This window comes from Homo sapiens, chromosome 13, assembly GCF_000001405.40.
Source record: "Homo sapiens chromosome 13, GRCh38.p14 Primary Assembly".
Taxonomy (NCBI): Eukaryota; Metazoa; Chordata; class Mammalia; order Primates; family Hominidae; genus Homo; species Homo sapiens.
Genome location: NC_000013.11, coordinates 97,958,996 through 97,975,235, shown reverse-complemented (window position 1 = coordinate 97,975,235; position 16,240 = coordinate 97,958,996). Strand labels below are relative to the sequence as shown.

Here is a 16,240-nt window from a genome sequence, read left to right as displayed (position 1 = left end):
GCCTCCCAAAGTGCTAGGATTACAGGCATGAGCCACTGCGCCCAGCTACAAAAACAATTCATTTCTGCCCCAAAGGGACACTACATCTCTAGTGAGGAGGTTTCATACTGGGTGAGATGGAAGAGTAGTTCTACACCGCTGGCAGTACATAGTATTTAACTTAGGGAATTTAATTTCCTGTTGGCTATTCTGCTGCAGTTCTGCTCTTTGAAAGTCAAAACATTTGCTCTTTGGTGAATGATTTTAAATCTTGGCCACTGTGTTTAGAATCTGGGCTGAGCCCTGGGATCCACGTGCAATTGGGATGGCCAGCCAAGATTTTTTTCTAAAGGATTCTAATTGGTTCCTAGAGAAAATTCTCTTAGAAAGTTTTGGGCCATGACAATGATGGGTTCTCTACAGGAGGTCTGCAGACCTATCTTTGTTGAATTTATATTTCTTAGATGTGACAAGTTTTCATTCTTATGCCACGTTATTTCTTCTAGACAAACCACTATGCACATTACTTTGGGGCAGCTTTTTTTTGTTTGATTTTGATTTTTTTTTTTTTTTGTGGGTCGTTGGGGTATCTGGATTCTGAGGAGGTTTCATCATCAGCCAAGGTTATTAAGGTTTTAAGAATTACAGGCCGGGCAAGGTGGCTCACGCCTGTAATCCCAGCACTTTGGGGGGCCGAGGTGGGCGGATCACCTGAGGTCAGGAGTTCGAGACGAGCCTGGCCAACATGGTGAAAGCCCGTCTTTACTAAAAATACAAAAATTAGCCAGGTGTGGTGGTGGTGGGCGCCTGTAATCCCAGCTACTCGGGAGGCTGAGGCAGGAGAATCACTTGAACCTGGGAGGTGGAGGTTACAGTGAGCCGAGATCGTGCCATTGCACTCCAGCCTGGGTGATAGAGCAAGACTCCGTCTCAAAAAAAAAAAAAAAGAATTTCAGACAAAAACAACTCATTCAAATGACTAGGTTAACAGTGAAATATGATAAATTGCTTAGAGGCTGCTTAGGGCATGGCCCGATCTCCAGTTACTTTTTAACACCTGTTGCGATATGTGTTTCTATTGGCAATGAGTCTGTAGGTTACATATATTTGCTTAATAGTTACTAAATAATAGAAATTCCAATCAAGTTTGCAGATATTTGTTACTATTATTATTATTGTTATTATTATTATTTTGAGACAGAGTCTCACTCTGTTGCCCAGGGTGGAGAGCAGTGGTGTGATCTCACTGCAGCCGCCACTTCTTGGGCTCCAGCGATCCTCCCACCTCAGCCCTTCCAACTAGCTGGTCTGCAGGCACAAGCCACCACACCTGGCTAATGTTTCCAGTTTTGGTAGAGATGGGGTCTTCCTGTTACCCAGGCTGGTCTCAAACTCCTGAGTTCGGGCGATCCTCCCACTTTGGCCTCCCAAAGTGCTAGGATTACAGGCCTCCGCCACCACACCCGGCTAGGAGCTTGTTTTTTAACGAGGCAAAGCGTAAACCTAAGATTATTTCAGGCAGGCTAAAAACAAAACAATTTTGTATTAGTGGTGACATCAACTGCTAGAACACGAAATCACAGCCCAGCCTTATTTTAACATTTTAAATATCCAATCAAAAGGGAAGGAGAAGAATTTTAAGGTTAATGAATGAAGAGACCACCCCGCCACCCAAAATGGGAGAAATTCCAGTAAACTTGGGGTAGATAGCAGATGTCCTGACAATGGAGACTGGTTCTGGTGTCCAGAAAACCTCCTAAGTGGGGACTGTATTTTCGGTAGCAGGCTTGCCATTTTGAAGAGTTTATAATGCTCAGCCTTCTGGGAAGTTTACTGCACTTAGAAGCCCATTTCCCATAGACAGTGTCCTTATTGTTTATAAGAGTATCATTTTCTTATAAGAAAATAACTCAGGGGCTGGGTGCAGTGGCTCACGCCTGTAATCCTAGCACTTTGGGAGGCGGGTGGATCCCCTGAGGTCAGGAGTTTGAGACCAGCCTGGCCAACAGGGCGAGACCCCGTCTCTACTAGAAATACAAAAAAAAAATCAGCTGGGTATGGTGGCGCATGCCTGTAATCCCAGCTACTCTGGAGGCTGAGGCAGGAGAATCGCTTGAACCCAGGAGACGGAGGTTGCAGTGAGCCAGTATCATGCCACTGCACTACAGCATGGGTGACAGAGTGAGACTCCCTCTCAAAAAAAAAAAAAAAAAAAAAAGAAGATAAAAGAAAATAACTAAGATATTCCATAAAAACAGCCTGCAGGATTATAGATTTATTTATTTCCCAAGGAGATCAAATGGTGGAAGGTAAAGAGCCTTGAACTTGAGTCTAGGGGATTTGTATCTTTAGTCTCTTACTAGCTGTGTAACCTTGAGTGCTTAATGTCGCTAAGCCTCAATTTCTCATCTATAAAATGGGGATAATAAAAAGTATATTATTAATCATAAAAGTTCTTCTAGCATTAACTTATAATTGGAAGTAAAAATGCAAGGATAGAAAACTTTGAGTTTTGCTTACTCCGTATTCGCTGCCATTGCTTTGGCCGCATTAAAATAAAAAAACAAAAACAAAACTGCCCCGAAGTAATGTACTTAGTGGTTTATCTTGTGAATGGCCAGCTCCTTTCCCTTGCAGTTTATTAGACTTGGCACTACTTCCATTAAGTGCTGGAGGCAAATTTGCTTGGAGCATTTGCAACCCTTTACGAAAAGGGTGAGGTTGGGGGAAAGAAAACAAAGTCTCTCTCAACTGCTACTTGAAATCTAGGTAGTTTAGGATTTTTGCTGTTAGGAAGTACTGCACAGCCTGGGCATGACCTATTTGTAATACTGCAGGAGACCAGGCTCCTTAACTAGAGAGCATCAGAATCTCTCCCACTACTGCTCTTAGTTTTATGGGCTCCCATGTTGATGGGAGTGTTCTGGAAGTGGGAGAAGGTTGGAGAAGTTAGGCTTGTAAGACCTCTGTGAAAGCTTTTCTCAGCTGGGATAGAATTTGGTTTTGTCTGCCCTTTCTGGTTTGCAGAGTGCTGAATGCAAATAACATAAGATTCTCCCAAGTGAATAATCTAATTTTGTTTTAAGTTGTCTCGGGTCTCTATGACTCCTTATCTTGGTAGTTGTAAGCGCTATGCTCTTGATATCACAATTTATTATGAGGGTCAATTTAGATGGTATAAATCAAAGTGTTATAATCTGTAACTACACCAATGTAAGCTGATGGCATTATTATTTTTGTTAATAATTAACCTGGTACAATGAAAAAGAATGCTGGCTTTGTTTTCTCATCTGTAAAATTGGAATGATAGTTCTTCATAGGAGTGTTTTGAAAGTTAGGATAATATATGTAAATTCACATAGTATGGTGTCTGCATAAGTAGATACTCAATAATTATCTCTTTTATTAGTAAGATGGATTTGGGAGTTAAATGTGACCTTAAACAAGTAATTACTCTTTTTGTTTGTTTTTTTAGAGATGGGGTCTTGCTATATTGCCCAGGACAGTCTTGAACTCCTGGGCTCAAGCGATCCTCCTACCTCGGCCTCCCAAAGTGCTGGGGTTACAGGCTTGAGCCACCGCGCCTGGCCTTAAACAAGTAATTACTCTTAAGGCTGCAGCTGATGCATAGTCATGTGCATCACATTTGTGTTTATATAAAATCTACTTGCGTATTTTCTATTAGTCTCCCAATTGTGCAGAGTGAAATAGTGTATGGAATGGATTACAGATATTCAATAGACACTTGGCTGATAAGTAAGATTTCTGACTCTAATACTGATGTTTTCTGTTGCCTAGATAAGAGCCAGCAAAAAAAGTTTGAATGGTTGAAAAATTATTGAAAATATGCTGAAATATTCACATTTTTTTCAACTGCTTTTTATCAAAACTTTCAAGTTCCTGCTCTGAAGCAGTCTGTTACATACAGTCAGTGCACCTCAGCCAGGGGCAAGTGGGACCCTAACAATCCTGAAGGACACTGTGCACAATAGGCCCTCAGTAAATTGTGGAATGGAACACAGGCAGGGAAATTTTGACTTGATTGTTTTCTTTTGCGCCCTTTCTTAGTTTTATATTTGAGATTCAGTGGATATCTGCAGATGGAGGGACTCATTTTAGGGAGGCTGGGAGCAGAGGCTCCAGAGCCGGCCAATGTGCAAGTTCAAATGATAGCTTCACAGCCTACATGCTGTGTGATCTTGCCCAAGGTAACCTGTCTCAAGCCCAGTTTCTTCTTCTCTGAAATGGGTGTAATAGAAGTATTTTTTACTACTGATTAAAATACCTGGCAGTAGTGCCGGGCACAGAGTAAATGCTTAATAGATAGTGGCTGTGATTGCTAATACAGATTGCAACCTCTAAAATTTGTAACTTTAATTTTGATTGGACATCTACCTGTTAGACTATTGCATTTTTATATTCTCATTATATAAGTGGTCATGTTACAGGAATGCATCATAATTGTGGTTAAGAAAAAAATCAAGTTTGATTTGATTATCACAGAGCTATTAAAGGCTATTTCTGGCTTTCAATGCTACAGTTGCAATGCTCATTATGGTAGCCACTAGCCATTATGACTGTTGACCAATTGAAATATGGCGTGTTTGAACTGAGGTATGCTTTTTTCTTTTTTTTTGCGACGGAGTCCCACTCTGTCGCCCAGGCTGGAGTGCAGTGGCACGATTTCAGCTCACTGCAACCTCTGCCTCCCGGGTTCAAGCGATTCTCCTGCCTCAGCCCCCCAAGTAGCTGGGATTACAGGCGCCCGCCACCATGCCCGGCTAATTTTTTTTTATTTTTAGTAGAGACGGGGTTTCACCATCTTGGCCAGGCTTGTCTCGAACTCCTGACCTCGTGATCCACCCGCCTCGGCCTCCCAAAGTGCTGGGATTACAGGCGTGAGCCACTGAGCCTGGCCTGAGATATATTTTAAGTGTAAAATACACAGTAAATTTCAAAGACTTAGTAGGAAATTAAGAATAACAATTTTATATTGGTCACATGTAGAAATGTTAATATATTGTGTTAAATAAAATAGTTATATTTATTGATAAACTATTGTTAAATGTATTAATTTCACTTTTTTTTACTTGTTAAAAATATGGCTACTAGAAATTTTAAAATTGCATATGTGATTTGTATTTGTGGCTCATATTATATTTCGATTGGGCAGTGCTTTGCTGGAGAATAAAATAGCCAACTAGCTACACATAGGTGTCCTACATACTTTGTACATTGACATTTAGGAAGTGACTTTTGGCTGGGTGTGATGGCTCACGCCTGTAATCCCAGCACTTTGGGAGGCTGAGGTGGGAGGATTGCCTGAGACCAGGAGTTCGAGACCAGCCTGGGCAACATGGCGAGACCTTGTCTCTTTTAAAAAAAACAAAACAGGAAGTGACTTTTCCCCAGGTGAAATCAGTTACCTTATTGTGTTTTCTGTTGCTTCTAGTTTTCCAACTTGATCCTCAGGCATTTGAAGACATGCTGCAGTACTTTCTGAGCAGTGTTCCCTTAGGAATTTCTTTCCTCTGCTGATTTGACAGAAACAGAATGGTGGACCATTAGATGGTACTTAATTTTGAAGATGATATTCTTAAAAATCACATCTGATTTTGAAGAATAAATCCTTATCAGTTAAATCAAAGACTGGTTAAGAGTTGGAGAAAATAAAAATACCTTTTCTTGATGTTGTTTTCATTTAAAAGTGGTAAATGGATTTTTAAAAATCATTTGTTGCATTTTAATACCTGAAATAAAAATATACTTAGCAGAGGCCGGGTGCAGTGGCTCACGCCTATAATCCCAGCACTTTGGGAGGCCAAGGCAGGCGGATCACGAGGTCAGGAGATGGAGACCATCCTGGCTAACACGGTAAAACCCCGTCTCTACTAAAAATACAAAAAAATTAGCTGGGCGTGGTGGTGGGCACCTGTAGTCCCAGCTACTCGGGAGGCTGAAGCAGGAGAATGGTGTGAACCTGGGAGGCAGAGCTTGCGGTGAGCTGAGATCGCGCCACTGCTCACCAGCCTGGGTGACAGAGCGAGACTACGTATCAAAAAAAAAAAAAAAAAAAAAAAATATATATATATATATATATATACTTAGCAGAAAGATTTCATTTCTAAGTTAAATGATTTTTCTTAGAACACAAATAGGTTGAAAGTAAAAGGATAGAAAAAGACACACCATGCAAACAGTATTCAAAAGCAGATACGCAGCCTGGCCAACATAGAGAAAACCCGTTTTTACTAAAAATACAAACTTTAGCTAGGCGTAGTGGCAGGCGCCTGTAATCCCAGCACTTTGGGAGGCCAGGGTGGGTGGATCACTTGAGGTCGGGAGTTCAAGACCAGCCTGGCAAACATGGTGAAACCCCGTCTCTACTAAAAATACAAATGTTAGCTGGGTGTAGTGGCAGGCGGCTGTACTCTGTTACCTGGGAGGCTGAGATACGAGAACTGTTTGAACCTGGGAGGCAGAGGCTGTAATGAGCCGAGATGGTGCCACTGCACTCCAGCCTGGGTGACGGAGCAAGACTCCATCTCAAAAAGACAAAAAAACAAAAGCAGGTGGAATGGCTCTCTTAATTTTAGACAAAATAGATTTTAAGACAAAAAATGTCATTAGAGATAAAGAGGACATTTTTATAATAAAAAATTCAATCAGGAAGATAGAACAGTTTTAAACACATGTGCCTAACAGCACCAAAATACATAAAGCAAAACCTGACAGAATTAAGGGAGAAATAGATAATTCAACAAAAATAGTTTGAGACTTCTGTTCCCACCTTTCAGTAACGGATAGGATAACTAGATAGATCAATAATAAATGGAAGACAAAGAATAAGATAAACCAACTACACCTACAAGACAAGTGTAAGACACTCCACCCAAAAGCAGCAGAGTAAACATTTTCCTCAAGTGAATATGGAACATTCTCCAGGATAGACCATATGTTAGGCTGTAAAACAAGCTTCAGTCAATTTTAAAGGATTGAAACCAACAAAGTATGTTCTCTGACCACAACAGAATAAAATTAGAAATCAAGAACAAAAGGAAATTTGAGAAATTCACAAGAGATTAAACTGCATACTCCTAAATAACAAGTGCGTCAAAGAAGAAATCACAAGATGGCTTGGCACGGTGCCTCATGTCTCTAATCACAGTGCTTTGGAAGGCTGAGGTGGGAGGATCCTTTGAGCCCAGGAATTCAAAGTTACAGTGAGCAATGATCGCACCACTGCATTCCAACCTGGGTGACAGACAGAGTGAGACCCCTTCTCTATATTGAAAAAAATCACAAGAGAAATTAGAAAATACTTTGAGCCGGGTGCGGTGGCTCATGCCTGTAATCCCAGCATATTGGGAGGCCGAGGTGGGCGGATCACAAGGTCAGGAGATCAAGACCATCCTGGCTAACATGGTGAAACGCCGTCTCTGCTAAAAATACAAAAAATTAGCCGGGCGTGGTGGTGGGCACCTGTAGTCCCAGCTACTTGGGAGGCTGAGGCAGGAGAATGGCATGAACCCGGGAGGCGGAGCTTGCAGTGAGCTGAGATCGAGCCACTGCACTCCAGCCTGGGCGACAGAGCGAGACTCAAACAAACAAACAAACAAACAAACAGAAAATACTTTCAGATGAATGAAAACAAAAATATAAGATACCAAAATTTATGGGATAGCAGTGATAGCAATGCTCATAGGGACACTTAGAGCTGTCCTTATCAATTAGAAAAGAAGAAATCAATAACCTACTTCCTTAGATACTAAAGAAAGAAGGGCAAACTAAATCCACAACAAGCTGAAAGAAAGAAAGCAAGAAAGAAAGAGAAAGGAAGAAAAAGAGAAAGAAGACTAAAAGGAAATAAATGAAATAGAAAATTAAAAAAGAGAAAATAAAAATAACCCAAAATTGTTTCTTTGAGAAGATCAACAAAATTCACAAACTTTTGGCTGTACTGACCAGGAAAAAAAAGAGGAGACTCAAATACTAAAATCAGGAATGAAAGAGGAGACATCACTACCCAGCTTTCAGAAATAAAAAGAATTAGAATACTGTACCCAATTGTGTGCTAACAAATTAGATAACCTAGAGGAAATGGACACATTTCTAGAAAAACGCAAATCAAAAGTGATTCACGAAGAAATAGAAAATATGAATAGATCTACAGCAAGTAAAACTATTGAATTAGTTATTTTATTTTATTTTATTATTTTTTGAGACAGAGTCTTGCTCTGTCACCCAGGCTGGAGTGCAGTGGCGTGATCTTAGCTCACTGCAACCTCCGCCTCCCTGGTTCAAGCAATTCTCCTGCCTCAGCCTCCCAAGTAGCTGGGACTATAGGCACACACCACCACACCCGGCTAATTTTTGTGTTTTTAGTAGAGATGTGGTTTCACTGTAGTCAGGTTGGTCTTGAACTCCTGACCTCAAGTGATCCACCTCCCTCGGCCTCTCAAAGTGCTTTGACTACAGGCGTGAGCCACTGCGCCCAGCTGAATTAGTAATTTTAAAAGTCACAAAGAAAAATCCCAGACCAGATGACTTTACTGGTGAATTTTACCAAACATTTAAAAAGCAATTAACACCATTCCTACTCAAACTTTGTCAGAAAATAGAAGCAGAGTGAACACGTAATGAATCATTTTATAAGGCCAGTTGTGCCCTGCTGCCAAAAACAAAAAAAACTATAGACCAATATCGACACAAAAATTATAAACAAAATACTAGCAAACTGAATTAAACAACATATAGAGAGGATTATCTACCATGATTAAGTGAAATTTATCCCAGGAATGAAAGGTTGGCATAACATATGAAAATCAATGTAATATACCATATTAATAAAGCGTAAAAACTATATGAGCATCTCAATTGATGCAGGATAAGCTTTTCACAGAATCCAATCCCTTTTCATTATTAAAACGCTCAACAAACTAGGAATAAAGAGGAATTTCCTCAACTTCATAAAAGCCATCTGTGACAGACTCACAGTTAACATCATATTTAGTTGAGAAAAATTGGATGTTTTCTCCCTGAGATCAAGACAAGAATGTCTATTGTCACCATTTTTACTCAATATTTTACTGGAAGTTCTATTTTTTTTTTTTTTTTTTTTTTGAGAGGGGGCCTTGCTCTGTCACCCAGGCTGGAGTGCAGATCTCGGCTTACTGCAACTTCCATCTCCCTGGTTCAAGCGATTCTCCTGCCTCAGCCTCCTGAGTAGCTGGGATTAAGGCACAAGCCACCACACCCAGCTAATTTTTGTATTTTTAGTAGAGATGGGGTTTCACCATGTTGGCCAGGCTGGTTTTGATCTCTGTCATGATCTCATGATCCGCCTGCCTCGGCCGCCCCAAAGTGCTGGGATTACAGGCGTGAGCCACCGTGCCCGGCCTGGAAATTCTATCTCTATTCACAAGTGACATGATTTCGTATAGACAAAATCCTAAGGAATTCACACAAGCACACACACACACACACACACACACACACACAAACTATTAGAACAAACAAAACAAGTTCAGCAAGGTTGCAGGAGACAAGATCAATATATAAAAATCAATTGTAATTCCATACACTAGCAATAAACAATCTGAAAATGAAATTAAGAACACAGTTTTATTTACAATAGCATCAAAAAAGAATAAGACTCAGTAACAAAGTAATAGTAACTTTCACAGAACTGTAGAACTTGTATGCTGAAAATTATAAAACATTGTTGGAAGAAATTAAAGAAGATCTAAATAAATGGAAACACAGTCTATACGCATGGATTGGGAGATTTAATATTATTAAGATGGTGATACCTCCCTCCCTTAATCTATAGATTCAAGGTAATCCCAATTAAAATTCCAATTGCCTTTGTTTTTCAGATATGGACAAGCTGATTTTTTTTTAATTTTTCAGTTTCGATATACATGTGCAGAACGTGCAGGTTTGTTACATAGGTATACATGTGCCATGGTGGTTTGCTGCACCTACCAACCCATCATCTAGGTTTTAAGCCCTGCATGCATTAAGTATTTGTCCTAATGCTCTCCCTTCCCTTGTCCCCCACCCCCCGACAGGCCCTGGTGTGTGATGTTCCCCTTCCTGTGTCCATGTGTTCTCATTGTCCAACTCCCACTTATGAGTGAGAACATGTGGTGTTTGGTTTTCTGTTCCTGTGTTAGTTTGCTGAGAATGATGGCTTCCAGCTTCATCCATGTCCCTGCAAAGGACATGAACTCATTCTTTTTTATGGCTGCATAGTATTCAATGGTATACGTGTGCCACATTTTCTTTATCCAGTCTATCATTGATGGGCATTTGGTTGGTTCCAAGTCTTTGCTATTGTAAATAGTGCTGCAATAAACATACGTGTGCATGTGTCTTTACAGTAGAATGATTTATAATCCTTTGGGTATATACTCAGTAATGGGATTGCTGGGTCAAATGGTATTTGTGGTTCTAGATCCTTGAGGAATCGCCACACTGTCCCTATATAAGAAATGGTGCTGGGAGGCCGGGCGCGGTGGCTCACGCCTGTAATCCCAGCACTTTGGGAGGCTGAGGCGGGCGGGTCATGAGGTCAGGAGATCGAGACCATCCTGGCTAACACGGTGAAACCCCGTCTCTACTTTTTTTTGTAAAAATACAAAAAAAAATTAGCTGGGTGTGGTGGCAGGTGCCTATAGTCCCAGCTACTCGGCAGGAGAATGGCATGAACCCGGGAGGCGGAGCTTGCAGTGAGCCGAGATCGCGCCACTGCACTCCAGCCTGGGTGACAGAGCGAGACTCATTCTCCAAAAAAAAAAAAAAAAAAAAAGAAAGAAATGGTGCTGGGAAAACTGGCTAGTCATATGCAGAAAACACAAACTGGACCCATTCCTTACACCTTATACAAAAATTAACTCAAGATGGATTAAAGACTTAAATGTAAAACTTAAAATCATGAAAACCCTAGAAGAAAACCTAGGCAATATCATTTAGGACATAGGCATGGGCAATGACTTCATGACTAAAACACCAAAAGCAATTGCAACAAAAGCCAAAATTGACAAATAGGATCTAATTAAACTAAAGAGCTTCTGCACAGCAAAAGAAACTGTCATCAGAATGAACAGGCAGCCTACAGAATGGGAGAAAATTTTTGCAATCTATCCATCTGACAGAGGGCTAATGTCCAGAATCTACAAATAACTTAAACAAATTTACAAGAAAAAAACAACCCCATCAAAAAGTAGGCAAAAGATATGAACAGACACTTCTCAAAAGAAGACATTTATGTTGCCAACAAACATATGAAAAAAAGCTCATCCTCACTGGTCATTAGAGAAATGCAAATCAAAACCACAATGAGATATCATCTCATGCCAGTTAGAATGGTGATCATTAAAAAGTCAGGAAACAACAGATGCTGGCGAGGCTGTGGAGAAATAGGAATGCTTTTACACTGTTGGTGGGAGTGTAAATTGGACAAACTGATTCTAAAAATTCATCTAGAGTTGCAAGAGACTCTGAGTAACCAAAGCAGTCGAAAAAAACAAAATTCAAAGGATTAACAGTTGCTGAATTCAAGGCTTACTATAAAGCTGTAATAATGGCCGGGTGCAGTGGCTCACACCTATAATCCTAGCATTTTGGGAGGCTGAGGCGGGCAGATCATGAGGTCAGAAGATCGAGACCATCCTGGCCAACATGGTGAAACCCCATCTGTACTAAAATACAAAAAATTAGCCGGGCGTGAGGGTGCATGCCTGTAGTCCCAGCTACTTGGGAGGCTGAGGCAAGGGAATTGCTTGAACCCAGGAGGCGGAGATTGCAGTGAGCTGAGATTCCACCACTGCACTCTAGCCTGGTGACAGAGCTAGACTCCGTCTCAAAAAAAAAAAAAAAAGCTATAATAATTAAGACACAAGTGTTACCGGCATAAGGACAGACATATAGATCAATGGAATTGAATAGTGACTCCAGAAATAAACCTTACATGTGTTGTCAGACTGATTTTTGACAAGGATACTGTGATGGTTAGTTTTATGTTTCACTTGGCTAGGCTGTTGGAGCCCCGTTGTTTGGTCAAACAGCAGTCTAGATGTTGCTGGGAAAGTATCTGTGGATACAATTTAACATTTATAATCAGTTGACTTTAACTAAAGCAAATTACCCTCCACAAGGTGGGTGGGCTTCATCTAATCAGTTGAAGGCCTTAATAGCAAAGATGGAGGTTTCTGGGGGAAGAAACAATTCTGCTACAAGACCACAGCACAGAAACCTTGCCCGAATCTCCACCTGCTGGTTTGCCCTTCAGATTTCAAACTCAAGACTACAACATCAACTCAAACCTGAATTTCCAGCCTGCTAGCCTGCCCTGCAGGATTTGAACTTTCCATCTCTCATAATTATGTAGCAGATTCCTTAAAATAAATCTATCTATCTACCTTTTTTTTTTTTTTGAGACAGTTTCACTCTGTCACCCAGGCTGGAGTGCAGTGGCACAATCTTGGCTCACTGCAACCTCTGCCTCCCAGGCTCAAGTGATTCTTGTGCCTCAGCCTCCTGAGCAGCTGGGACTACGGATGTGCCTCACCATACCCAGCTAATTTTTTGTATTTTTAATAGAGACAGGGGTTTCACCATGTTGGCCAGGCTGGTCTCGAACTCCTGACCTCAAGTGATCTGCCTGCCTGGGCCCCCCAAAGTGCTGGGATTACAGGTGTGAGCCACTGTGCCCATCCATCTATTTCTTATTGGTTCATTTTCTCTTGAGGACCCTGGCTAATATAGGAGCCATGACTGTTCACTGTGGAAAGATTGTTGCCGGTACAACTTGATATCCACATGCGTTAGAATGAAGCTGGACCCATACTTCACGTCATAAAAACTTCAAAGTGGATCATAGACTAAATGTAAGAGCTAAAACTATAAAATTCTTACAAGAAAATATAGGACTAAATCTTCATCGCTTTGGGGTAGGCAATCATTTTTTAGCTATGACATCAAAATCACAAAAGGCAGAAGAGAAAAATGGATACATTGAACTTCACAAAATTAAAACCTTTGTGCTTTTAAGGACACCATCAAGAAAGAGAAAAGACAACTCATAGAATGGGAGAAAATATATGCAAATAATGTATATTTTTTGAGACAAAGTCTCACTCTGTCACCCAGGCTGGAATGCATTGGCATGATCTCAGCTCACTGCAGGCTCTGCCTCCCAGGTTCAAGTGATTCTCCTGCCTCAGCCTCCAGATTAGCTGGGATTACAGGTGTGCGCCCCCACGCCCAGCTAATTTTTGTATTTTTAGTAGAGATGGGGTTTTGCCGTGTTGGCCAGGCTGGTCTTGAACTCCTGACCTCAAGTGATCCACTCACTTTGGTCTCCCAAAGTGCTGGGATTACAGGTGTGAGCCACTGCGCCTGGCCACAAATCATATGTCTTATAAGGGACTTATATCCAGAATATTTAAAAAGCCCTACTCTCAATTAAAAAAAGACAACCCAATTAAAAAAATGGGTAAAACATTTGAATAGACATTTCTCCAGAGAAAATATACAAATGGCCAATAAGCACATGAAAAGATGTGCAACATCATTCATCATTAGAGAAATGCAAATCAAAACCACAATGTAAGTTACCACTTCATACCCAATAAAATGGCTTTAATAAAAAAGGCAACAGCAAGTGTTGACAAGAATGTGGAGAAATTCAAACGCTCATACTTTGCTAATAGGAACATAAAATGTTACAGCCAATTTGGAAAACAGTCTGAATAAGCTGGGTGTGGTGACGCATGCCTGTAATTCCAGTTACTCGAGAGGCTGAGGCATGAGAATCACTTGAACCTGGGAGGCAGAGGTTGCGTTGAGCCGAGATCGTGCCATTGCACTCCAGCCTGAGTTACCATTTGACTCAGTAATTTCACTCCTAGGTATATGTGCAAGAGAAAAGACAACATATGTTGACACAAAAACTTGTACATGAATGTTCATGGCAACATTATTCACCACAGCCAAAAAGTGGAAACAATTCAACTGTCCATCCACTGGTGAATGGATAAACAAAATGTCTTCTAACTATACAAGGAAATATTACTTCGCAATAAAAGAATAAAGTAATGATACATGTAACAACATGAGTGAACCTTAAACTCATTAGACTGCCTGAAGGAAATCAGACAAAAAGACCACACATTTTTTTGGTCCCACTTATGGGAAATGTCCAGAATCAGCACATCCATAGACAGTAGATTGGTGCTTGCCATGTGCCTGGGCATGGGGTGGGTAGGGGAATCAGTGAGTGCTAGCAGGTATGGAGTTTTCTTTTAGGGTGAGGAAAGGGTGATAGTGATGAATGTGCAGCCCACTGAATATACTAAACACTCCATTGTACACTTTAGAAGGTTGAACTTTAGGCTGGGTGAGGTGGCTCATGCCTGTAATCCCAGCACTTTGGGAGGCTCAGGCGAGTGGATCACCTGAGGTCAGGAGTTCGAGACCAGCTTGACCAACATGGTGAAACGCTGTCTCTACTGAAAGTACAAAAGTTAGCTGGGCGTAGTGGTGCGCGACTGTAATCCCAGCTACTCAAGAGGCTGAGGCAGGAGAATTGCTTGAACCCAGGAGGTGGAGGTTGCAGTGAGCCGAGATCATGCCATTGCACTCCAGCCTGGGTGACAAGGGTGAAACTCCATCTCAAAAAAAAAAAAAACCAAATAAATAAAATAAAAAGTAAAATTTGGACTTTATGGTGTATGAATGTCTCAATAAAGCTATTATATTAAAAATACATTTCCTTAGAGAGCTGAAGGATATTGATTTAGACCTCAATTAGTGATTTTTTCCCCCTATCATTCACAGTATTTTTACCTTAGTTCTGAATCCTTGAGTGATAACCATTCATAACCTTCAAACTTCGGAGAATTCCTAAACCAATATTTGTGGAGAGGGAGAATGGGGAGATTCAGATATGATTTGGTCTGTAGACTTTCCTTCCCATCTTTTTGCTACTTACAGCAAGTATCTTACAATTTGGACACATGACATACACATTTCACCTCCTGCATTGTGAGGACATACATAATGGAGTCTGAATTGTGACATCGATCTGCATCTCATAGTTGGAGCTATTGGCAGCATGGATTTTTAGTCATCCACAGTTAATGAGGAACAAATGAAAGGGACCTTATAATGGTTCATAGGCTTCAATTCCATGCATCCTATGTGTAGTACTGCTTGATGCCACATTTAACTGCAGTAGTATTTGTTTAATGAACATTTTCTTCATTCATTTGTTTAGAAAAATATTAGGCACCCCTCTGTGGGAGGTGCTGCTAGGCTGTGGGGATTCCACGGTGAGCATGCGGACAGGGTTCCCACCTTCAGGGAGCTTAGCTCTTTTGAAAGAATTCAGATAATAAACAAGTAAACTGATAAGATACTTGCATACAGTTATAGGTGAAAAAAGAAGATAATGGGATCACGAATGACTGGATTTGGAGTGGGGTCATACCCTAGGGACACAGTCTTTCTTTTCTTTGAGACAGAGTCCCAGTCCGTCACCCCGGCTGGAGTGCAGTGGCGCTATCTAGGCTCACTGCAACCTACGCCTCCCGGGTTCAAGCAATTCTCCTGGCTCAGCCTCCTAAGTAGCTGGGACTATAGGCGCCCGCCACCACACCCGGTTAATTTTTGTTTTTTGTATTTTAGTAGAGACGGGGTTTCACCATGTTGGCCAGGCTGGTCTTGAACTTCTGACTTTGTGACCCACCCGCCTCGGCCTCCCAAAGTGCTGGGATTATAGGCGTGAGCCACCGTGCCCTGCCGGGACAGTCTTTTGAGAGGAGGTGACAATGAAAGATGAGGCAAATAAAGAAATGGAGGAGGCTCTCTCAAGCAGAGGTGACAATACGAAGGACAGAGGCAAAAACAAGTTGGGGTATTCCAGAAAGGAAAGAAGGGGATAGCTAAAGCTGAGAGGGTTGAGAGGCCAGCAGAGGCCAGATCACCCAGGGCACCCTGATAGTTCAGCAGCATGTTCTGCTACTAGGGCATTGTGATGGTTCTGTAGTGTGACTTGTTCTCTCTCTTTTTTTTTTTTTGAGACACAGTCTTGCTGTGTCACCCAGGCTGGAGTGCAGTGGCGTGATCTTAGTTCACTTCAACCTCTGCCTCCTAGGTTCAAGCAATTCTCTTGCCTCAGCCTCCCGAGTAGCTGGGATTACAGGTGCCCGCCACCACGTCTGGCTAATTTTTGTATTTTTAGTAGAGACGAGGT

General features: G+C 41.3%; 1 protein-coding gene across 11 annotated transcripts in view; it reads right to left on the bottom strand.

The window, feature by feature from the left end:
* IPO5 (importin 5) overlaps positions 1 to 16,240 on the bottom strand; it is a 70,622-nt gene that overhangs the window by 49,061 nt on the left and 5,321 nt on the right. For 3 of the 11 annotated variants that reach the window (XM_024449346.2, NM_002271.6, XM_005254052.4), the window contains one exon: positions 5,406 to 5,513. In XM_024449346.2, coding sequence (XP_024305114.1) covers positions 5,406 to 5,455 — 50 coding nt within the window. In that variant the 5' untranslated portion in view covers positions 5,456 to 5,513. Of the gene's footprint in view, positions 1 to 5,405; positions 5,514 to 11,953; positions 12,077 to 14,832; positions 14,890 to 16,240 lie in introns of all 11 variants that reach the window. The other 8 variants (XM_047430299.1, XM_011521087.3, XM_011521089.3 and 5 more) reach the window with 7 other exon arrangements.